At 38.3% G+C, this 24,438-nt stretch overlaps 2 protein-coding genes across 18 annotated transcripts in view, besides 4 other annotated features; one reads left to right on the top strand and one right to left on the bottom strand.

Moving 5' to 3' along the window:
• The window catches only part of EFL1 (elongation factor like GTPase 1), a 132,502-nt gene extending 130,276 nt beyond the window's left edge, over positions 1-2,226 (bottom strand). For 4 of the 5 annotated variants that reach the window (NR_136410.2, NM_001040610.3, NM_001322844.2 and 1 more), the window contains exons 1-2: positions 2,106-2,226; positions 1,180-1,289 (exon numbers count right to left, since the gene is read on the bottom strand). Coding sequence is in view for 3 of the 5 variants with exons in the window: in NM_001040610.3 (NP_001035700.1) it covers positions 1,180-1,270 (91 nt within the window). In the remaining 2 variants the exon portion in view is untranslated. Of the gene's footprint in view, positions 1-1,179; positions 1,290-1,628; positions 2,021-2,105 lie in introns of those variants that run through there. The other variant, NM_001322845.2, reaches the window with a different exon arrangement.
• Positions 156-342: a silencer, noted in NCBI's record as "fragment chr15:82553005-82553191 (GRCh37/hg19 assembly coordinates)". NCBI's record gives its function as "represses an EF-1alpha promoter that drives an FKBP-Casp9 reporter gene in an ReSE screen in K562 erythroleukemia cells {active_cell/tissue: K562}" and the evidence as "EXISTENCE:reporter gene assay evidence [ECO:0000049][PMID:32094911]".
• On the top strand, positions 2,310-24,419 carry SAXO2 (stabilizer of axonemal microtubules 2). 13 transcript variants are annotated; one of them, XM_047432398.1, is made up of 6 exons: positions 2,310-2,424; positions 2,631-2,680; positions 5,061-5,212; positions 7,814-7,851; positions 11,095-11,294; positions 21,611-24,419. In XM_047432398.1, the coding sequence occupies exons 2-6, from the start codon at positions 2,653-2,655 to the stop codon at positions 22,552-22,554; spliced, it is 1,362 nt and encodes a 453-aa protein (XP_047288354.1). In that variant the 5' UTR covers positions 2,310-2,424; positions 2,631-2,652; the 3' UTR covers positions 22,555-24,419. The 13 variants fall into 13 exon arrangements, 11 of the variants coding, with proteins under 11 accessions (XP_047288354.1, XP_024305670.1, NP_001335630.1 ...); XM_024449902.2 differs by having other exon boundaries at positions 2,310-2,680; NM_001348701.2 differs by lacking the exon at positions 7,814-7,851 and having other exon boundaries at positions 5,061-5,240.
• Positions 2,351-2,440: an enhancer, noted in NCBI's record as "active region_9961". NCBI's record gives its function as "activates an Ori minimal core promoter by ATAC-STARR-seq in GM12878 lymphoblastoid cells {active_cell/tissue: GM12878}" and the evidence as "EXISTENCE:reporter gene assay evidence [ECO:0000049][PMID:35858748]".
• Positions 2,461-2,530: an enhancer, noted in NCBI's record as "active region_9962". NCBI's record gives its function as "activates an Ori minimal core promoter by ATAC-STARR-seq in GM12878 lymphoblastoid cells {active_cell/tissue: GM12878}" and the evidence as "EXISTENCE:reporter gene assay evidence [ECO:0000049][PMID:35858748]".
• Positions 6,578-7,138: an enhancer, noted in NCBI's record as "OCT4-NANOG hESC enhancer chr15:82559427-82559987 (GRCh37/hg19 assembly coordinates)". NCBI's record gives its function as "activates a minimal SCP1, AML or CMV promoter by ChIP-STARR-seq in primed H9 embryonic stem cells {active_cell/tissue: H9 hESC(primed)}" and the evidence as "EXISTENCE:reporter gene assay evidence [ECO:0000049][PMID:30033119]".
• Positions 24,420-24,438: the final 19 nt, after the last annotated feature.

Here is a 24,438-nt window from a genome sequence, read left to right on the forward strand (position 1 = left end):
TACATCATTCCTGCTCCATGTTTTCCCCCAAAGGCTCCCTACTGCCTAATAGTAGACATTAATGATCGTTTTCATGGTGAAGCGTTTACCTTCCCTCTCATTATTATCACATTTAATCCTATAGCCTATAAAGCAGGTATAGTTTTCATCCTGTTTTACAGATGCTGTATATTGAAGCTCAAAAAGGCAAGGTATGTAACTTGAAAATGGAGATCTGAACTTAGGTTGTCTAACTCCAGAGCTGGAGCACTCAACTCTTATCCCAGTTCCTAGCTGGCATGAGCAGCTCTATGAGATATGACTCAGCCTGCTTCTTCACCTCGCCAACTGGTCCTTCATCTTCAGGATGGTAAATATGTTTTATTTCATATGCCCATCCCAATCACTTTGCTGTGGTTACCTAAACTACCAAGAGGTTTGAAATCAAGAGGAGGCTTAGCATGAAGGAGCGCTATGGAGTTACAGCAGTATCTGTCAGAAGAACATACCATGGGTTAGCTATCTCTGCCTTTCCCATATACTGGGCTTTGACCACATATATTTCCCTCTCCCCTTGATGACACATTCCCACCTGTAATGATTATCTCCATTTGTCATCTTGAGCCCCCTTCAAGTGTCATCTCTAATACTAATTATGTTGTGAGGTCTTTTCCTAACCCCTCACTTCCTAATCCTCTAGTTCTCCCAACCTTAGAGTCTACTTTTTTCTCTTGTTTGTCTCATTTTGCTCTGCTCCCCGTTAAAACCTCCCCTGGGCTAGTGCCCTACTCATAAATCTCCACCTTCAGACATACTAAGCAAAATATCTTGAACTTAACAGACGTTTGATAAATATCTGATGAATTAAATAGGATCACATACCACAGACTCTAAGGACATTATGTCAAGACTACAGACATTTTATATGTAAAGCCATTTCAAAAACAAAAAATTCAAGTTCTGCTTTAAAAAACAACATGACATAATATATAGAAGAATGCTACTCACTAGGTAACCGTGTTCATTTCAAATGCTTTATAGCAAAGCAGGCTTCCCTAACATCACACAAAACTTTTAAAGAAAGAAGACTTGCTTCTTAGCAAACATCACTCTCAGCTGTCCACAGCTTCACTCCACTGAGACATACAGAGACACATCTCCCTTATTTATCAAAATAAGCCATTTAAAAAGTATTCTTACCATGGTCAACATGAGCCAAAACACAAATATTCCTGATGTTGGCAGTGTTTTTCTGGAGTTGAATCATCTTATCCAAACTGTTGAGCACCATGATTACTTATTTCCTGTGACTAAAAATTAAATATGTATTACAAATGGCCCAGAGGCTAAAGGTCGGGGCAAAAGAAAAAAATAATAATAAACGCTGGGAGGTGGCAAGCTTCTCAAACCCCTTAAACCAAGAACCCAGTGAATGTTTATTGATGAGATAGACCACCAAGGCCTAAGTCCAGTTCGAGCACTAAAGTCAGTATCCTACCACGATTACACTTAAGGAGTTTGCTCATCCTTCCGGATCCAAAGGCTGCGATGAATCACGCAGCTCGAGGGGACTGGGTGCACAGTGACACCAGTAACCCTGCCGGTGGAGGAGTACTCCAGTAAACATCTCCAGGCCAATGACCACGTACAGGAAGGGTTGCATCCAGGAGGGAGAGAAAATGCTGAAGAAGATGCTCCCTTTCTCTCTTCAGTCTTCCCCCAAGTCCCTCATTCTGACATTCTCGCTCGTCCTCGCGCGAGGTCAAATACCCAGCTTTATTCCTGCCCATGGAGCCCGAACAAAGTTTTGGGTCACGTGCTTATTATCCAAGCAGGTGCACTGCCGGTCTTTCATTCCTTTCTAAATAAAAAGGAAAAACCTCTACACTACATGCCCTTCATTTCTGCAGGGTCCCAGATTCGTTCTCTTTGAGGATCCTGGGTCCACACAGACAGGCGACCGCCCCGGCCCCAGACGGGAAGCGGCACTCCGGGGACCGAAGCTCCCAGCCCGCGCTCGGCCCCAGCCCCTGTTCCCGCCTCAGAGCCGCAGCGAGCGGGTTCCTCCGGCACCGCCCAAAGGCTGGCCTAGGAGGTTCCAGCCCCCAGCGCCAGCCCACACTCACCGGCTGCAGCAGCCCCACCAGCCCCGCTCCTTCTCTCGGGTCGCACCCACACCGAGAGCTTCCGAAAGTCCGAGAGCTCTGCGGGTCCGACACGCCCGCGCGCCAGGGGGCGGGGCCGGCTGTCGCTCGACCTTTCACCCGCACGTCTCTGACGCCGCCGGAAGCCGGCGCCGAGTCTGTCACCGGGCATCCCTCTGTTGCCTTGACTACGGCGGGCGCTGTGGGAGTGGAGAAGCTGCAAGTGCTGAGGCGCGGTGGAGGAAAGCATGGGAGCCAAGAGTATGAGGAGCTGGTGTCTGTGTCAGATTTGTAGCTGCGGGTAAGAAACGGCTGGTGTAGCGGCGGGCCCGGGCTTGGGAGCCGACCTAGGGCCTAGGTGCACGGAGCCGGCTCCTCGGGAACCCTGAGAGTGGCCGTCCCCCGGAGATGAAGGGACGAGGGCGCAGCGACATCCCCACTTATCCCGCTCCGCGAATACTCGCTCCTCACCCGCCTGCTACCCGGGGGTAAAACGTTTGTTCGTAGCCCCTGAGACTCCCAATCAAGGATGCAAAGTAAAATGCCACCCGGGCCAGGTAAGTAATATATGTGAAGCCGCGACGGGATATAACGCTGGTGAGTAGTGGGATGTGATCCGACTGGGAGAGTGCATTTCCACCCCATAATCCCCCACCACGAAGATGAGAAAGAACAGTGCTCAAGGCCCTGAGTCTGCAACCCATATCACATTTTCTTTCATCTGTAGCTTTCTGTCCTCCCAGCCAGACCATATTCCCATTCCCGTCCAGGCAGCAGTTCTTTGGGATCCGCCTGACTGAAAAGTCAGTAAGTAGTCCCTACCCTGAAATCTAGAATCCAACTGTGAGTCCTGCCTAACAACCTTCCATCACCTGTAAACACAGTCCTCTCCTTCCTCAGCTTCACTATTGACCCAGGGATTAGATCATTATTTGCTAAGTAAATATGAACGTTGTCAATCCCTGGTGTATTTGTAATCCCATTCAAAGAAAACACCTACATGTTGATGGAAAGCAGTTTTTTTAATAGTCTCATAATAAACACAGTTCATAATTATATATAGATTAAAATATCAACAAATTAACTTTGGGTGTATGAATCCTCAGACTGGTGTGCAGGAGAAAATTTTTACTTTTCTCCTAATTTATATTCAACGCAAGTTCCTTTCTCATTCAACTGTAAGGAAATTCAGTCTTCATTATGTTGAGGGCCACCATTGGAATGGCGTGATTTTACTTCTTGTTTGTTTGTTTTGGGCTGTGGTTGTTAGTTTTGTCTTTTTAAGGGTTTATTTTTATTTTTTGACAATGCAATAAATACACAAGAAGTATCATAAAAATCTAAGCAAAAATATCTATAATATTGTAAAACGCCTTCATAATTCTATCTTCCACAGATAACAAATGTTCTTTAAGACTTGTTTTACATATGCATTGATTTTTTTTTTTTTTTTTTTTTGAGACAGAGTCTGGCTCTCTTGCCAGGCTGGAGTGCAGTGGCGCAATCTCGGCTCACTGCAATCTCCGCCTCCCGGGTTCAAGCAATTCTCCTGCCTCAGCCTCTCTGAGTAGCTGGGATTACAGGCTCGTGCGACCACACCCAGCTAATTTTTGTATTTTTAGTAGAGACGGGGTTTCACCATGTTGGCCTCCATCTCCTGACCTCATGATCTGCCTGCCTCGGCTTCCCAAAGTGCTGGGATTACAGGCGTGAGCCACTGCGCCTGGCCTGCATTGATTTTTTTTTTTTTTTAACAAAAAAAGAGAATATTCTGAGCATACTATTCTACAATCCGGTTTTTTACTATTTACAATCTCACCAACTTCCAATGATCATGCATAAAGACCACCCTCATTCTCTTAAATAACTGTATACTATTAGCTTATATGATATATTGGTCAAGGTTCTTAGTTGTGGATAACGTAATCTCCTCTGGTTAGTCTAGGCAAAAAGGAATTTATTAAGGAGTATATATATAGTTCACTTGGAAGAACTTAAGAAATCATTTTCAAAATAAGCTTCCACAAAAATTTTACCACAGACCAGGACTGACAAGGGAGCCACTGCCTCTGCCATAATCAGAAAATTGCAACAGAGCTGTAGACTCCAGAATCACTCGTCTCTTCCAAGGTCAAGAAGCTGCCAAGTTAGGAAACCAGCTTGCAAATCAAGATGCCGCCTAACAACTTCTAGCTCCAATCTCTTGTTGCCTCTATTATGTTCCATGCAAGCAAAATAAATGTTGTGCCTTGACTCTCTCCTTATGTAGCTCTCTTCTGAATCAAAGTATCATGTGAATACACATAGTAGGTGAAACCTAAATTGTATGTGGAACCTTTCTGCAAGAGCATGGGAAATTCCCTATTAGCTTTTCAGCTTCTATAGTGTAAGAAGACACTAAATTGTTATGAGACACTTAATTGCTGTGCTTCCACCACATAGGGATAGACCATTATTTATTGATTGTTTTTGTAAACACCATTACAGAGGAAACAGTTTTTGGGGGTTTTTTTGTTTTTAGTTTTTTGAGACAGAGCCTTGTTCTGTCACCCAGGCTGGAGTGCAGTGGCAGGATCTTGGCTCACTGCAAGCTCCGCCTCCCAGGTTCACGCCATTTCCCTGCCTCAGCCTCCTGAGTAGCTGGGACTACAGGGTACCCGCCACCACGCCTGGCTAATTTTTTTGTATTTTTAGTAGAGACGGGGTTTCACCGTGTTAGTCAGGATGGTCTCGATCTCCTGACTTTGGGATCCGCCTGCCTTGGCCTCCCAAAGTGCTGAGATTACAGGCGTGAGCCACTGTGCCCGGCCCAGTTTTTGGTTTTTTAGTAAAGCTCTAGAATTTAGAAATTGTGAGTTTATTAGAGGTCTCTGATTAAAACGCAGTTATAACACAAAATTTTTTTAAGGTTAATCTTTCAGTTTATTTTTTGCACAGGCGACATCATTGTCCACGTGGAACCACAAGGATTTATGAAAATTCTGGGGTGTTTTGCCCTACAACTGAATATTTGGAAAAATATCCTATGTATGACAATGTTCTTCCACCTCAGAGTCTTAAAGCCAAGCAAGAAATTCGAGCATGCCATGGTAAAATGGAAGGAATAACTACATTTAAGTAAATATTTAGTAACTATTTGCTTTACTTATTTTTCTCTCAACTCTTCTGGTGTCAATAAAGTTTTCTAGCTATTTAAATTGAACTGTTCAGTTGATTTAAGTTGAACCAATCTAATAGTCAAGAGACTAGTTAAGTCACAACTTGAAAAAAAAAAACAGAAAAATGAGAATTAAGTTAGGTTGACAAAGTGTGAGAAGAAAAAAGGGATATAAAAAGTTCTATTTTTTTTTAACTTCTTAAAATATCTCATATTTATCTACTTTCCACTGTCACCACCACCTAGAGTAGGGTGTCTAATCTTTTGGCTTCCCTGGGCCACATTGGAAGAAGAATTGTCTTGGGCCACACATAAAATACAATAACACCAACCATAGCTGATGAGCTAAACAACAACAAAAAAAAAATCACAAAAAAATCTCATAATGTTTTAAGAAAGTTTACGAATTTGCATTGGGCCTCATTCGAAGCTGTCCTGGGCTGCATGCAGCCCATAGGCCGCAGGTTGGACAAGCCTGACCTAGAGGAATGCAGTCACTTTCTAAGTATAATATCTGAATCTACTCTAGTTTTTGCAGTTTGATCTGTTTTCAATACTTCAGCCTGCCCAAATAATTTTAAAATGCAAACCAAACCCTATCACTTCTCTGCTTAAGATACTCTTAAACTTTCCCATTATCTTTAATATAAACCAGAATCCTTACCAAAATCATGTAGAGGCATGGTTTGCTCACTATTTACTTCTCTAATTCATTTTCACTGTAGTGTCCTTTTCACTCTTTTATGCTCCATTCCATGGGCCATTTTTCATTTCCTTGAAAGTGCCAGGTTTCCCTTGTCTCAGAGTCTTCCAAGATACTGTTTTCCCTACCTGTAGTTTTCCTTCCCTCTCCTAGCTAATGCTCATTCAATCTATAGATCTCAACTAAATTATCACTTGAAAAAGCCTTCTCTGAGACTTTTCAGATTAGGTAAAATTCTTCTATGTAAGCTCCCAAAGCACCTTCCTGTTATTTATCATTAGATTAGTTTCAGTGTTTCATGAAAGCAGGAACTAAGTCTATTGTTATCTCAGCATTCTATTTTTAGAAAACGAATACAATGCCTACTAGCACATACTAGGTACCCAATATTTGTTCAGTGAGTGATGAACAAAAATCCTCTTAAGTCTATACTTTTCATTTGGACTTACCTTTTTTGATCTCTGTATTTTTGTCAGGTGGATTAAGTATTACATTTACTCATTATTTTATTTAAACTGTTAATGTATGTGCTGTATTCAAGGTACAATCTTAGTGTTAAGTATAAAAATGTCAAGTTTGTGAACCCCAAATATCTGAGATAGGTGTCAGTTAATTTAGAAAGTTTATTTTGCCAAGGTTGAGGGTGCATGCCAGTGACACAGCCTCAGGAGGTCCCAATAATATGTGCCCAAGGTGGTCAGAGCACAGTTTGGTTTTATACATTTTAGGGACACACACATCAGTCAACATATATGTAAGATGAATATTGGTTCTTCCGGAAAGGCGGGACAACTGGAAGCAGGGAGGGAGCTTGCAGGTCATATGTAGATAAGAGACAAATAGTTGCATTCTTTTGAGTTTCTGATGAGCCTCTCCAAAGGAAGCAATCAGATATGCATTTATCTCAGTGAGCAGAGTGGTGACTTTGAATAGAATGGGAGACAGCTTTGCCCTAAGCATTTCCCAGCTTCACTTTTCCCCTTAGCTTAATGATTTTGGGACTCCAAGATTTATCTTCCTTTCACAAGTTGAAGTTCCTGCTTTCAGGGAACTCAGACATCATATTTCTATAATTTAGGGTTTTAAAAATGCTCTGTAATAGCTTTAGATTTTGGTGTTAGTTATTTTCATTTCAGATGCAGCTCATTCTTATATAGCAAAGGTGGAGACTTTCCAACTTTTAGTCTAATATTTATATTTTTAACATTTCAGGCATTCCTTGCAGTAATAATATTTTGGTGACTCTAGTTACTAGTGTAGGGGTATGGCTCTTCCATAGATGGAAGATTTTACTTAGTCCTCAGATTTTGGTATGCAGTAGTGCCATCTAGAAGTGTTAAAATTGCAGACTCCAGAGCTCTATCTAAAAGAGCCAGTAGATAATAGAGTGGGTCTCAGGAAACTGCATTTTTAACCAGCATTGGTGGTGATTCTGTTGCCACTGATTGAGTGCAGCAGGTCAGGCACTGGACTGCTTAATGAGGATGACATGGAACATAAAACAGAGAAGGTCTTTGCTTTACTGTTGTTTATAGTCTGTGGGAAAGTCCAGAAATAAAAATATCAGCTAAATAACTAAGATAATTATGGATTATGATAAATGAGATGAAGAAATTGAATAACTGGTTGAGATTGATTAAATGGGAATGGTTGTTCTTTTTTCTTCACTTTAATTTATTAATATTTTTTTCTTGATGCCTTAATGGTTCATATTAGAGATTTGAAATAAATTTTACAATATTTGTGTTTATTGAACAAAGATTTTGCTTTTAACCAGTTCTAAATGTAGAAATTGAGAAAATTTAACCTGCCATATCTTTCTTTTAAAAGGCTTTCCAATTCTGGATTTCCCCTGTTGACTTATTCAAGTAAGCCTTAATAATTTAAAAAACAAAACAAAACAAGAAATGTCCCAAAGGTCCATATATGCCAGTAAAACTAAAATATTTGTTTATTAAAGTGTCATCTCTTCACTTAGTAAGACATCGGATCTTTTCTTTATATTTTCACTGGGAAACTAGCAGTATTTCTAAGAGTCATAATCTAGGAGCTTGAAACTCTTGCTTGACTCTCTCATGTTGGCTGTGTTGACTAGGCAGTAGAAAGTGGATTTATCTGTACAAACAAAGAAGCATTCTGTACCTTTGTATAGTACAGGAAGTGACTGTGTAAAGAGGTGTCTGAACTTGTACAAGATTTTGGATCCTTTATAGCAGTACAGTTGTAGCTCACTTAGATGACTGCCAGAGTTGGCAGGAAGCCTGCCCTGAACGAGTAGGATTCTAGACACATCAAATGTTTCAGGATATATCAGATGAATAAGACTGCATTCACCCTCTACTACTACTCCATAGAAAGCTGCTTTGGGTTTGGAGGCATACTTTCTGACACTTAAATAGTCTAACCAGAGAAACTGGGACTTCTGAGCTTACTCTTTGCTTTTCCCTTCCTGATTCTCTCACTTCCTGACTGCATTTTAGCCTATTCCCCTCTAGTTCGTATTTGGGAAGAGCAAAGAACAACTCAGATGTCTTGACAAGCAGAGGTATGTGATTTCTACTACTCTTCATCCATTAAATAAAAAATTATTAAGCATTTATTAAGCATGAAGCACTATACTAGTCACCTGGTATACAGTGGTGAACAAAAGCAGTCATGATCTCTGTGCTGACAGATATTACAATCTATTAGAAATGGCAATCAAAACATTACTCAAAATAACTCTAAAACTGCAACAGTGATAAAATCTATGAAGGACAGGCACAGGTACCTTGACAACCAGACCAAGAGTTTGACTTTATCAGGGGAATGAGAAAAATGAGTCAAAACCTGAAGGATGTCAAATTAACTGGATTAAGAGGGGGAAGGAAATGCATTCCAAGTAGAGAGAGAGAGTAGCTTGTAGCAGGAAGGAGCATGGAAAGGAGAAAATTGTCAAAGAAAGCCAGGTGGAGCAGAGAAAGCAAGAGGAAACAACGGTGAGAGTTGAGGCTAGTGAAGAAGACCAGGCAGAGCCTTTAAACCATGTTCAGTGTTGTCTATGTCCTACAGTAATAAGAAGCCATGAAGGTTTTTCTGTTTTGTTTTTTTGGTGGAGGGTGGAGGGTGGACTTGGGGAGGAAGAAAGGTAAGGAAGAGGCTAGGGAGATGAGGGCAGGAATGACTTGATCAGATTTACATGAGAAAGAATTACTTCAGGTGCCATGTGGAGAAAAGATTGGAGGGAGAACTAAAGTGGATGTGGGTAAATGAGTTTCGAAAGTTATTAAAGTGATTCAAATGAGCTGTTGCAAAAACTTTGCATATTATGGTGGTGGCAGATGTGGAGAAAAGTGGTTAGATTTGAGGGATATTTATGAGGCAAAATTGACAGTAGTTGATGATGGACTAGATAGGGGAGAGAATTGAGGTATAAAGGGTGAGTCCTAGATTTCTGACTATGCGTCTGAAAGGATGGTGATAGTGTTCACTTAAATAGAGAAAAAGCAAAAAGGACCACATTTATTGAGGGGAAATAGCGAGTTGATTTGGGACGTATTAAGTGTTGAGTTGCCATCGAATCCAATGGCATTGAATCCAAGAGACCATCATAGATACTGGTATGAAGCTCACAGAAGAGGTCCAAGCTGAGATGTAAATTTGAGGGTTATTTCGATCTAGGTAGTGATCTAAGTTGTGGGAGTAGAAGAGTTATCCTCAGGAGTGAACAGTGGATGAGAAGAAGAATGTGTAGGTAGGTCCAAGTCTTGAGGAACGCTAACATGTATTTAATGATGGAGTAGAGGTAGATGAAGCTACATAGGAAACTGGAAAGAAATAATCAGGAAGTCGGGAAGAGAAAGTTTCCTAGAAACAGACAGTGTGCACAATAATGTCAATTACTGTTGGAGAGGTCAGGTAAGATGAGGACTAAAAATGTTCGATGAATTTAATCACATGGAAGACATTGTGAACTTTAGAGCTGTATTAGGGAAGTGGCAGTGCTGGAAACCAGACTGAAATGGATTGAAGTGGGTGAGAAAACAGTTAATTAGTCTAAGAAGTTATGTTGTGAATAGAAGAATTCAGTGAGGGTTTTGGGTTTCTTTGGGGAACTTACAGACATACGCAGCAAATATTGGTTAATACAAGATAGTTTAATCACAAAATGAGTCACGTGTCAATAGAGTCCAGAAGAAAAAAGCAATCCCTGAAGTCTTGGGGTAGTAATAGTGGTGGCTACCATATTGATCTTACTATGTACGAAGCAGTCTTCAAAGCATGTGTGTATATCCTTAAAACAACTCTGTGAGATAGAAGATATTATTGTTCCATTTTATATATAAAGAAACTGGGGCATAAACAGGTTAATGAAGTTATCCAAGGTCCTGCAGCTAGTAAATGACAGAACCAGGATTTGGACCTAGGTGGCCTGATCAGTCTAAGTTTGTGGTCTTCTCCATTCCTCAGTTTTTACCTCAGTGTCTGCAGTACTACCTCTGTCACATAATGTTACATAGTACCCAGGTTGGCTGCGTTACCATCTGGCATCCATCCATGACAAGGACTTCTGGGAGATCCAAAGATTAGGAACACTCAAATCTATAATCTGAATGTGATTTATGTCTAAAGACCAGAGTTACTAATCATTTAACAATAAGCGAGAAAACAGCATGAATTCAAAAAGAAGAAAGTATGCCAAAATAGTTTGCTGGAGACTGTAAGTAAGATGAATAAGGACTTTGACAAAGTGGACTCAGGGGTAATATATTTTTTAAACTTTTCAGGTTTAGTAAATTTTACCTGAAATTTCCTTCCAGGTTAGAAAAAAAATCAATTACTTGAGGATATTATTTACTGAAGATCCGATTAACTGAGATCTATTGTAATGATGTTTTAAAAACTAGGATTTTTGATATATTTACTTTTCTCAAGATATTTAGTCACTGGATAGGACCTTATAAGAAATTCAGTTACCTCTTTCAAGTAGTTTATCAACTATTACCATTTTAATATCTTCTCAGACTTTTCCAGTAAAAAAGAAAAAAAAGCCTTGACATTTTCCATACTTCATTGAAATAATTAGGAATAAAAGAACTTGTGAGGCTATGTTTCAAATTTATATATTTCAGGTCGGATTATTGTCCTTATGAAATAGTTAAACAGCCTCGCCATGTGCCAGAAGAATATAAACCAAAACAAGGGAAGATTGATCTTGGTACTACCTACAAACGGGATTTGAATTCGTATAAAGTGCAGCCTGTGGCAATAGTCCGGCCTTTGGAGAGACAAGTTAAAAAAGGAAAATTGGACACTGTCCCAACCTATAAAGGTAACTTGCTGTTTCATACATGAAGGAGCCAAAAAACTAAAACTCACTTCCAGCTTTAACATCTAATATCAAATTATAACTTTGGTGTGCTGCCAAACTTAGCCTCCATGGCTTAGGAAAGAACATTTCTCTCTTTGGCAAAATAGTATTGTATAGTAACAAAAGAAAATAGGCCATTTGTCTGATTGAGTGGTAAAAGACCCACAATCCCATCCAAATTCATCTACTTTGTTAGTTTTCTGTCTCAAAACATGAAAAACAAAGGATGCCATTAAAGAAGCATTATGTCACATTTGTCACTTTGTGTCACATTTAGTTGGCATTGTTCTTTTCTTCCCATCCTAGAAAAAGTTGAAACTCTACCGAGAGTATTGGGATCTTTGAGGTCAAATAAATAGCAATGCTTTTCTCCATTCAAGTCCTGAACCAACCTATAAAGCAAAAGAGTTGCCAGATGGAGAAGCAAAATACTGCTTTTACACTGATAAAGGACAAAGTAGAGAATGAACTTTTCATCTGTAAGCAGACGCTTCCTGATACTGAACCTCAGAATTAGATAGGCTTATCTACCCCATGATAGACAGTGCTAGACTACCACATAGGGGTCCTGCTCCTCTAAGAATTCTGGGATGGTGGAAGGGTGAGAATACTTTCTCTTTGCAGGCAACTGACTTAGAGGAGTACAAGTTGGGCCATGTATGCTTTTCTTTCCAAAAACCTGTTTTTTTGTTGTTGTTGTTGTTTTTGGGTTTTTTTTGTGACAGAGTCTCGTTCTGTCACCCAGGCTGGAGTGCAGTGGCACGATCTTGGCCCACTGCAACCTCCACCTCCTGGGTTAAAGCAATTCTCCCACCTCAGCCTCCAAAGTAGCTGGGATTACAGGTGCACACCACCACGCCCAGCTAATTTTTTGTATTTTTAGTAGAGATGGGGTTTCACCATGTTGGCCAGGCTGGTCACGAACTCCTGACCTCAAGTGATCCACACACCTCAGCCTCCCAAAGTGCTAAGATCAAAGGCGTGAGCCACCACGCGTGGCCCAAAAACCTGATTTTAAAATACTCTAGTACTTTTGAGGAATGGGGTCTTTGTTTTTTAAACACAGGCTGTTTTTTTTTTTCAAGATGGAGTCCCACTCTGTTGCCCAGGCTGGAGTATAGTGGCGCAATCTTGGCTCACTGCAACCTCTGTCTCCTGGGTTCAAGCAAGTCTCCTGTCTCAGCCTCCTGAGTAGCTGGGATTACAGGCACCCGCCACCATGCCTAGCTAATTTTTGTACTTTTAGTAGAGATGGGGTTTCACCATGTTGGCCAGGCTGGTCTCAAACTCCTGACCTCAAGTGATGCACCCACTTCGGCCTCCCAAACTGCTGGGATTACAGATGTGAGCCCCTGCACCTGGCCTAAAAATAGGCTATTTTAGGCCTATTTTGATTTTGATTTATGATAGTAGATATTACTTTTATATCTTTTTATTAATAATGTAATTACATATATAGGATTACATTTTTCCATTGGTTATGTAAAATAGCTGAATGGATATGTCCTAATATAAAACACTTTTGTAAGAGTGATACCATCAATAATCAAAGTAATGATTCATACTTTATTTAGGTAATAGTTAAATGCCTATTTTATCTTTAAATTTCACGCCTACCCATTCAACGAGTAAGTAAAGTGCAGGATATCAATATGCTTTCATCTATCAGCCTACCTATTAGGGAGGTCAAGAAAATGTTTTTTCTGTTTTTTAAATCTTTGAGCACATAACATACTACACAAAGAACAAATTGTGAAGACTATGTGAATGGTGAAGAAGTATATTATAATTAAATGTAGCATAGAGTAATTGCTGATAAATAGATTGATATGCGTAGGAGAAAATGTACTGTGCCAAATTTGGCATAAATAATAATTGATGAAAATGAATTTGTTCTTTTTTTGTTTGTTTTTTGAGATTGAGTCTTGCTCTGTCACCCAGACTAGAGTGTAGTGGCATGATCTCAGCTCACTGCAACCTCCGCCTCCCGGGTTCAAGTAATTCTCCTGCCTCAGCCTCCTGAGTAGCTAGGATTACAGGTGTGCGCCACCACGCCTGGCTAATTTTTGTATTTTTGGTAGAGACAGAGTTTCACCATGTTGGTCAGGCTGGTCTCAAACTCCTGACCTTGTGATTCGCCCGCCTTGTCCTCCCAAAGTGCTGGGATTACAGGCATGAGCCACTATATTTGGTCTCTTATACAATCACAGTAAGATTTTCTTTTTTTCTACAAGATCCATAAGAAAAATACCAGTAATACTGTTGTCCCCGATGCTGGGAACATGTACACACAATACACGCACACACTTATACCAACACTACTAGCTTTCCATGACCTGGGTTTCCTGTAGATTCTGATACTTCCACTCCTATGGTTGTAGTTCAAGGATAAAGAATTTTGAGTTCCTCTGGCATTCTCACTACTGAACTTTCTTAGTCAACAAAGGTGATATTTTGTATTTCAGATTTTCAGGCATGAGACAACAAAAACACTAAGAGCCAAGGTTGTACTTCCACACTCTGTATGAATGTGCTGCAGGTTTTGTAGATAACCTATTTAAAAACAATTCTACAGCTGAAGAGAAGCCACAATGGGAAGATACTCTCACTGTCCTCCTTTGGGAGGCCAAGGCGGGTGAATCACAAGGTCAGGAGTTTGAGACCAGCCTGGCCAACATGGCGAAACCCCATCTCTACTAAAAATACAAAACATTAGCTAGGCATGATGATGGGTGCCTGTAATCCCAGCTACTCAGGAGGCTGAGGCAGGAGAATATCTTGAACCCGGGAGGTGGAGTTGCAGTGAGCCAAGATTGCACCACTGCACTCCAGCCTGGGCAACAGTGCGTGACTCTGTCTCAAAAAAAAAAAAAAAAAGTATTTGAAATAAATAAAAATAGAGACACAACATACCAAAACTTCTGGGATGTGGCAAAAGCAGGGTTAAGAGGAAAGTTTATAATGCTAAATGCCTACATCAAAAAGATAGAAATATCTCAAATTAACAACCTAACATTGCAACCAAAAGTACTAGCAAAATAAGAACAAACTAAACCCAAAGCTAGCAGAAGAAATAATTAAAGTCAGAGCAGAACTGAATGAAATTGAGACCCTCAAAACCATGCAAAGGATCAATGAAGCAAAAAGTTCATTTTTTGAAAAGATAAGATTGATAGACCACTAGCTAGATTAACAAAAAAAGACATCCAAATAAGCACAATCAAAAATCACAAAAGTGACATCACAATTGATCCCACAGAAATACAGAAGATCCTCAGAGAATATTATGAACTTCTCTAGGTACACAAATTAGAAAGTCTAGAGGAAATGGATAAATTCGGAAACACAAATTCCCAAGATTGAACTAGGAAGAAACAGAAATCCTGAACAGATCAATAACGAGTAAGGAAATTGAATCAGTAGTAAGAAACCTATCAACCAAAAAAAAAAAAAAAAAAAAAAAAATGCCCCAGACCAAATGGGTTCACAGCTGAATTCTACCAGACATAGAAAGAACAGCTGGTACCAATCCTAGTGAAAGTATTCCAAAAATTGAGGAAGAAGGACTCCTCCCTGACTCATTCTGTGAAACTAGTATGATCCTGATAACCAAAATCTGACAAAAACACAAAAAGAAAAAGAAAACTACAGACCATGGTCCCTGAACACAGATGCAAAAATCCTCAAAAAATACTAGCACACTAAATCCAGCAGCACATCAAAAAGTTAATTCACCACAGTCAAGTGGGTTTTATTCCTGGTATGCAAGGATGGTCCAACATATGCAAATCAATAAATGTGATTCACCACATAAACAGAGTTAAAGACAAAAATCATATGATCATCTCAGTAGATGCAGAAAAAGCATTTAATAAAATCCAACATCACTTCATGATAAAAACTCTCAACAAACTAGGCATTGAAGGAACATAACTCAAAATAGTAAGAGCCATCTATGACAAACCCACAGCCAACATCATACTGAATGGACAAAAAACCGGAAGCATTCCCTTTGAGAACTGGAACAAGACAAGGATGCCCACTGTTATCACTCATATTTAACATAATCAAGCAAGAGAAAGAAAAGGCATCCAAATAGGAAAAAAGGAAGTCGAATTATGTCTCTTCGCTGACAATGTAATTTATACATGGGAAACCCTAAAGATTCTGCCAAAAGACTCCTGGACCTAATAAATGACTTCAGCAAAGTCTCAGCATACAAAATCAATGCACAAAAATCAGTAGCATTTCTATACACCAATAATCTTCAAGCTGAGAATCAAATCAAGAACATAATCCCATTTATAATAGCCATACACACTCACAGTACCTGGGCATACATCTAATGAAGGAGGTGAAAGATCTCTACATGGAGAAGGAAACCATAGACTACACAAATGAAAAAGCATTCTATGATCATGGATAGGAAGATTCAATATCATTAAAATGTCATACTACACAAAGCAATCTGCACATTACCAATATCATTTTTTTGCAGAATTAGAGAAAAACTATTCTAAAATTTATATAGAACCCAAAAAGAGCCTGAATAGCCAAGGCAATCCTAAACAAAAAGAATAAAACCAGAGGCATTACATCTCCTGACTTCAAACTATACTACAAAGTTACAGTAACCAAAACAGCATGGTACTGGTACAAAAATAGACACATAGACCAATGGAACAGAATGGAGACCCCTGAAATTAAGCCAGACACCTAGAACCACCTGATTGTCCACAAAATTGGCAAAAATAAACAGTGGGGAAATTGTTTATCCCTATTCCATAAATGATGCTGGAAAAACTGGCTAACCATATGCAGAAGGATGAAACCATATGCAGAAGGTGCAAGAAGGATCTAGAATTTTAAAGCCAGCAAATCTGAAAACTGTGTATCTAGTAAAAATAGCCTTTAAAAATTAAAGCAAATTAACAATGTTTTCAGACAAAAAAAGAAAAAGCTGAGATACCTTCTACAAAAAGCATTAAAGGAAATTCTTCAGTTAAAAGGAAACTTATTCCAGATAGAAGCATGAAATGCAGGAAGGGATGAAGCACACAGAAAGGGTACATATGTGGGTAAATATGAAAGAATATTGACAAAGTCAAAATTACTATATTATGTTTTTACACAAATATAAAAGTAAATTATGTTAGAACAGTAGTACAAAAGGCAAGAGGATTTAAATAGAATTAAATTGCTTACAGGTTCTTCCATGCTAGAAGTGGTAAAAATATCCATTTAAGTTGGAGCCAGAAAAATCTCATAATAAGTCAAAAATTCATTTTTATTTTTAAAATATAGAAAGTTAAAATAGTAAAGTGGAATAATACAAATGCCATTTATTAATACAAAAGAAGGCAAGAAATAAGGGGTATGGGAACAAAGAAGGGAAAAGTCAAAAGCAAATAGCAATACAATCAACTTAAGCCCAGCTAGATCATTGCATTAAGTGTAAATGAACAAAATATTGTGATTAAAATTCAAAGATTGATTTTTCACACATTAAAAAGATATTATTTTAAAAAATATGCCAATAATTTACAACTTACATAAAATGGATAAATTTTTTGAAAAATACAATTTACCAAAAGTAACCCAAGAAGAAATAAAAAGTCAAAATAGCCCTATATCTATAAAGGAAATTGAATTTGTAGAATTGAAGGTGTAATTTTAAACCTCACCATAAAGAAATCCAGAATATTCAGATTCTGTGTAGGATGCAGAAGGCTAGAAAGATTATGTTGCCAACATAACAATAAGAAAAAGCCAGATAATCTACAAAATCATAAATGTTTATGAATCCTTTAGAAAGCTGAGATCACAGGTTAACCAATTAGCCTGACATCTGAGGAGAAACAACTTCCACCCAGTTGAGACAGGAGGCAAGCACTGTTTCACCCAAAGCAGGGCATGGAATGAAGACTAGCTGTTACACAAGTGAATAAAATAATTCATTACATCTTTAATTGCTAAAGACTTGAGTATGAGCTACTGCGAGAGTATAGAAGCTCTGAGAACTTCAGACACTAAAGGGAGAGTTCAAAACCACTCATAGACTCTTCCCTATGGATGTTCACTGTGTGATCATGAGAAAGATTGGGAGAAAGGCTGGAGACCACAGAAAGTTTCCTTCATAGTGCGGGCATGGAGAGAAAAATGGTTGTTTTTGCAAAAGAAAAAAAAAAGCAGGAAGCTCCATTTGAATGCCTCTAACCTACAGAGCAAAAGCATTAATCCACTGCAGGAAAGGCACCACTCTGACAACCCCAAGGAATAGGTGAAGATGTATTGCAACTTGATGAAAGACAAAGGAAAAACAAGAAGAAGAAGCAAAATAAAACCAAACCTTGAACATGAAGAAAGAACAGGAAACTGTCTTGGGACCAACAATTAGAGACCTACTACATCAAGTGAAAGGGCAGGTGCTCTGAGAGAGCCCTGCTTCTGAGACCCAGGGGCACAGGGCCTGCCTAAGATTGAAGCTGGACTGGGACAACAGAGAAACCACCACACACCCGCTTTCCATTTCTCAAACACAAGATCCTAAGCTTCAAATATACAAAGCAGCAAGAATTTATAGTACTAACATAAGAAATGTGAAAATATGCATTTGTAGTTGGAGACTTCAACACTGTCTCTAAGTAATCTATAGAACGTAGACAGGAAATGAATATGGATATAAAGACCTGAACGACACTATCAACAATGTTGTCCAAATTGACATTTGTAAAGCACTTCTGTCAACAATAACAGAATATACATTCTTTTCAAGTGCACTTGAAAGCTTCATCCAGATAAACTATATTCAGAGTCATAAAAAAAACCTTAACAAATATAAAAGACTTGCAGTCGTGCAATGTGTGTTTTTGATCATAACAGAATTAAATTAGACATCAATAATAGAAAAAAATGTGGAAAATCTCCAAATATTTGGAAATTAAACAGCAAAATCCTAAATAACTAATGGCTTTAAGCAAAAGTAACAAAAGAAATTAGAAAATATTTTGAATTTAATGAAAATGAAAATATAGTACATCAAAATCTGAGAGATGCATCTAAAGCAATGCTTTTCAGAAAATTTATAGCATTTAAGGTTCATATTAGAAAAGAAAGTCTTAAATCAATAGTCTAAACCTTCATTGCATGAAACTAGAAAAATAAGAGCAAATTAAATCCAAAGCAAAGCAGAAGGAAATAAATGAGGATAACAGCAGCAATCAATAAATTTGAAAACAGAAAAATAATAGAGAAAAACAATGAAACCAAAAATTGGTTCTATTAAAAGATAATGAAGTTAATAAATGAAAAGAGAGAAGACACCAATTACAAATATCAAGAATGAAAGAGAATAGACCTTATAGACGTTTATTTTACATTGTGGCCTCTTCTTTTTTCTTTTTCTTATTTTTGACAATTTTATCAGGTTGCCATTCATTCCATATTTGCTTCAAGAAGGAAGACATTAATATTTAGAAGGTAATATCAACAGTATTTGAAAACCACTTGAAAAGGAGAGAAGGAAATGAGGGAGAGAAAGTCAATTAAACAGAACCTTAGCCTGAGATGCCAAATTCATAATAGAAACTTTGTTGATGTGTTATTTTCTGGGGAATGTGAGTCTGAGTGAGATAATTAATTGGGGCATGCTAAGTTTTCATTTATCTGAGGGACATCCAAATAAAGATGTCTAGTAGGTGGATAAATATGTGGGTTGGTGTTTGAAGGGAGGTCTGAAGTAGGGATTCAAGTTTGGGAGTCACCACCTTACAGGTAGTATTAAAACCATGGGAGTAGATTGGTGATATGTAGATTGAAAAAGCTGAGGCCGAGGATGATGTCCCCTTACTTTCTAAAAGTAGTTTCCAATTCCTCGGTACCACAAGACACCACAGGGAGCAGTCCCAAGTACCAGGAAAAAGAACTAGCATAAGCAACTCAAGACTTTTGTCCTCAAAGAAGAACCTAGAACAGCTCACTATATTAAAATGGGGTTGGAGCTGTGTATACAAATAGTGGGCAAGTGCATGCAGGCACTTCTTGGACTTAAACCTGTTCAGAAGAGAATAAACTTTCTAACCAGATTTTAGTGGCTAGACATAAAAAGTGAGCTGAGGAAACATCTAACAAGGGCGATAGTGGAGCTGCCACATAACCAAACTGTATTGTTAGACATGGACAGCATTGTTTTCTTGTTTTTCCATAAGTATCATAAAACACTAAAAACAGATGATAATGATTATGATGTTTTAAAGATACTGCTAGAATGTTATCAAATATTCCATAACAGATAATAAATATTCCAGGCATATGAGCATAGGCATATTTATAGGGAGAAAATCAATTTTCTGCAATTATGTAGAACTTACATTCATACTATTGTATGCTATCACATCCATCTCTCAGTGTCCAAATTCTTGCTTCCATTTTGAAAACCAAAGCTGGTTTGGTGAGGGAGAAATATTCTCTTCTGTTTACTCTCTTATAATGAAAATCTTTTTTCTCTTGTGTGGTAGCAAGAATTCTCCCTATATGATTGTGTGGAACTATAAACCTTCAATAACATCTATGATTCCTTTTAGCTAGTGAAAAATAGTGTTATACTTTTATACTGTAGTTTGCAAAGAAGAGAGATTCCCTCATGGTACCTCAAGAAAAAAAAAAGACTCTGGTAAAGCTTCATGTGAACTGAAAATGGAAAGCTATCAGGTGCCCAGGGAGCTTGAAGGAAGAGCTTTTCCCTTCATCTCTGCAATAAGCTACATGATTTCTCTCACAGCATCTTCACTTCCCTTCACTCATCTGCTCTGATTGCCACTTTACTAACTGGCCACCTCTGCCTAGTTATCATTTCTGTTTCTTTACAGGTCTATTTTGAATGTAACTTCAGCTTTCCATAGCTCTTAGCTTTACCTCCTGGCATCCTTTTCAATTCTCCCATTTCTATCTCACTCATTATTTTCAATTTTAGGTTTACAAGAATAACAATGCTTGATCTAGCTCATCTTTTCTGTCAGTTTGTCTTAAAGGTCTCTGCTGGCCTAAAGGTCACCTATTCTTGAGTCAGGTACACGCTCTCATCCAGACATCAGTAACTTAATCATTTAGTCCAATACTTGGCCATTTTGGCAGAAATGGATACGCATTTTTTCTCTTCAAAGAAGATATCCACATAATAAGTTTTCAAAGTTTGACCTTTCCTGTAAATATTGCATAGACTTTAGTCCAGATTTTAGTACATTATCCTGTGTAATAAATTTCTATCTTTTATAAATTAACTTTTGGTATTTAGAAATACATATTTTGGGGTGAAGTCAATTCTATGGTATTTCCTAGCTTACTATCTTCCTCATGGAGAAATAGAAAACACAAATAATCCTTAGTTGAAATATAAACATTTCAGTTTTAGTGAAGTGTACTATCACCAACTTGTAATGGTGTTACAAGTCATCATTCTGCATACACCAGAGTGACCCAAAATGCTCCACAGTCTAGGTAAACTGCAGGAGTAAGCTTAAGGTTATTTAACTTCCAAACCCCAGATCTCTGCTCTGATGGTCACTTGAAATTCTACAATTTCAAACACCTCTGAAGACATTCAGTTAAGGCCTCTGGCCTCTAGATGGCCCTCTATCTTTTGGGAATGCCTTAAAGTCCATTTCATGAGGGAAAGTTGAAGCCAGTGATCTTTCTGGGATAGCACAAGTTACCCTGTATCTTTGCTCAAGGAATTCTTTCTGTAGGCTTCCTAGAGTATACCAGAATTAAATTTTTCTCCCCTTTGATGAGTCTCTCCAAAGCAAGGAGTAATACCTGTATTACTTTTGCCCACCCATGAAGGGCACTTGATTTTATTTCAAGCCCTGGCTTTTAGACGTACCTTAGCATTTTGTGAGTTGTAATTAAAATCCCAACCTCTTCCTAGGAATACAACCATAATCTCCTAAACTCTGTCCTCACCTCCAACACAGTCCTTTTGGCTTTCAAGAACTATCCACAATCAGGCTCAGATGTGCTTTTCCTTTGTTATGTAATCAGATGAATCTGAAAGTGGAAAGTTACATGTATTAAAGTGAGGAGATGGGTAGAGGAAGGTGGAAATGAAGAAAAAGAACGAATCTGAAAGGAATCAGAGAAACTGTATTCTGATACTATTGTTTAGATTTCTAAAGGAAATGGAAAGATGTTTGGCAATGAGAGAAGTCAGTTATGATTTTTAGAAGATGGTTGTTTTCTTCAGCATTTAAAAATGTTTTTGCTTTGTTTTAATTTTCAAGACGATTATAGAGCTTGGGACCTTCATAAAAGTGAACTTTATAAGCCAGAACAAACTTACCACCCGCCTACTGTGAAATTTGGAAATTCAACTACATTTCAGGATGATTTTGTTCCTCAGGAGATAAAGCCTAGGCAAAGCTTTAAACCCTCCTCTGTGGTCAAACGTTCTACAGCCCCTTTTAATGGTATTACAAGTCATCGCCTTGATTATATACCTCATCAGCTTGAACTCAAGTTTGAAAGGCCAAAAGAAGTTTACAAACCAACTGACCAACGCTTTGAGGATCTCACAACTCACCGGTGTGACTTTCAGGGTCTCATTGGTGAAACTGCAAAACTCTGCAGACCTGTACACACCAGAGTGACCCAGAATGCTCTGTTTGAAGGAAGCACTGAATTCCGTGAAAGTTTTCAACCATGGGAAATCCCACCACCTGAGGTCAAGAAAGTACCAGAGTATGTGCCTCCTACAGGTAGCATGCTGTTAAACAGCACAAGCCATCTTGACTATGTTCCATATCAGGCCAACCATGTTGTTCCCATCAGGCCAGTTTCTCAAAAAAGAAGTAACAATTTTCCTTTCCAAGGAAAAAGCATCATGAAAGAAGATTTTCCAGCATGGGAAAGTTGTCGTCAAGGACTTATTAAGAAGCAGCAGCAGATTCCCAACCCATCTGGAAAATTTGATGGTTTGAGCACTTTCAGATCTCACTATGTGCCACATGAATTGATCCCAACAGAGAGTTGCAAACCTTTAAATATTGCTTTTAAGAGTTCTGTTCCATTTGATGATGTAACCATGTACTCTGTAGAGTACACACCGAAAAGACAGGAAATTTGCCCAGCCAGCTATCCCTCTCCTCCAGGTTATATTTTCGACAATACAAATTCCCAAGGTCATAAATTCTTCCGCAAGATTATTCCTGCAGTGAAGGCCTTCTAATAACCAAAATGTGCTTAAAAGGAAGGTACTAGCAAGTTGTTGTTTTTCCAAGAGAAAACTCAATTTTTATAGTTAAAAAATTTATGATATAATAAATCATTTTTTATATTTTTAAACAAGAAAATTGGAAAATATATTATAAGAAATCAGAATCTTAAAACCATTTTTTATTGATATTTTAATCAAGATTGTTCTTTAATGTGCATTTCAGAAGGTTGAATAATATGCATTCCCATGAGAACTATTTTAGTATTCAACATACTGCTTAGTAGCTTGTCCCCAGTCTATTATCATTTGTAATTCTGTTTATAATTATGGCAATTGTATGGTTATTCACATACCATTTGTCATTTATCAAGCACATCAGGATTATCTAGAACAACATTGAAAATGATACATGGATTCCTCTTCCAAGGCAACAGGATTCATTATACTCAGACTTCACGGCATCTACATAGCATCCACTGAATCAAGTTTTGGTTGGTGGTATACAGACTGCTGCACTGCTCCTCACCATGTTCAAGTTAGCAAGAGGCACTGTGGTGTGGCAAGGAAAGGCTCTGTGTGCTGGGAATCGAAGGACTTGAGTTCAAGTTCTGACTAATAATTATTATTATTTTTAGAGACAGGGTCTCACTGTCACCCGTGCTGGAGTCCAGTGGCATAATCACAGCTTACTGCAGCCTCAGCCTCCTGAGCTCAAGTGATCCTCCTGCCTCAGCCTCCCAAATAGCTGGGACTACAAGGGTGTGCCACCACACCTGGCTATTTTTTTTAAACATACTTTGTAGAGACAGGTTCTTGCTGTATTAGTCAGGCTGTTCAATCTATTGGCCAGGCTGCTATTGAATCCCACCTTGGCTTCCCAAAGCACTGGGATTACAGGCATGAGCCACTATACCCAACCTGAGTTTAAGTTCTAATAATATAGATTTCTATTTGTACTACCTTAGGCAGTGACTCATATCTCTGAGCCTCAGTGTCTTTATTTGTAAAATGATGTCTGTTCTCAAAAAGAGTTTGTTTTGAGCATCAGACTGTATGGTACATTTTAATCCTTAAAGTACAAATGTGGAGGATTTTTTTTTAAAATTGCTCAATCTCTTTTTGTACTTGTTTTCTCCTTTTCAAATTAGGATAATTACTTACTCAATGCTCATTTTCTGGCCTGTAGCAAGGATTGTAAAATAACCTAATTTGCTTTGAGCTTATGAGTAGTATATACTTCTGAGAGGAGTCTTGTCCTTTAAAACTTCATGAGCACCTGAGAAATTCTTAACAGAGAATGGAAAGCTTGGAATGGGGTAAATACAGTGGTTTGAATAACAGTATTTGCAGAAAGGAAAAAGTATTATTTGCTAGGGTAGTTTTAGGAAGACTGACAGCTCTGAAGAAATCTTTAGGGTAAATGTAGGTAATTTTGCACCTAATTGCCAGGCCAAGTCACTGTTTAGAGGAAGAACCAGCCCCAGCAGGGGGCATAATCACCTGGTTCACCTCTTCCGGTGTGAAGATAAGTGATAAGGTAAAGAATGATGCCAGTAAGTATAGTAGAAACACTCTATTGCATTTATAAATGCTAAAAATTTCCGAATGAATTAAACTCTTATTGGGTGGTTTCTTTTTTTAAAAAAATTAAATAATTGCATTATGGGAGAATATGATTTATTTTAGCATAAAGTGAATTTTAGTCTTTTATGGCTTCAGAATTATTTCAAAATATACTTTATTGAAAATCAATATTTGGTTATTTTAATTGTTCAAAAGTAATTTGTTCTTTACATTTATTAGTAAAAGTATGGTGTGTGAAACTATATTTCCATGCAACATAATAAAATCAATAAAAGGAATGGATTTTCAAGAAATCATTTCTTTACCTAATTT

Source organism: Homo sapiens, chromosome 15 (assembly GCF_000001405.40).
Source record: "Homo sapiens chromosome 15, GRCh38.p14 Primary Assembly".
NCBI lineage: Eukaryota > Metazoa > Chordata > Mammalia > Primates > Hominidae > Homo > Homo sapiens.

Bases quoted from the DNA above. Each gene is read 5' to 3' on its own strand.
- SAXO2 (NM_001348699.2), top strand. From the start codon at position 2,372: ATGGGAGCCAAGAGTATGAGGAGCTGGTGTCTGTGTCAGATTTGTAGC. The intron at 2,425-5,060 runs GTAAGAAACGGC...TTTTTTGCACAG, and splicing joins TGTCAGATTTGTAGCTGCGG to GCGACATCATTGTCCACGTG. The intron at 5,241-11,094 runs GTAAATATTTAG...TATATATTTCAG, and splicing joins GAAGGAATAACTACATTTAA to GTCGGATTATTGTCCTTATG.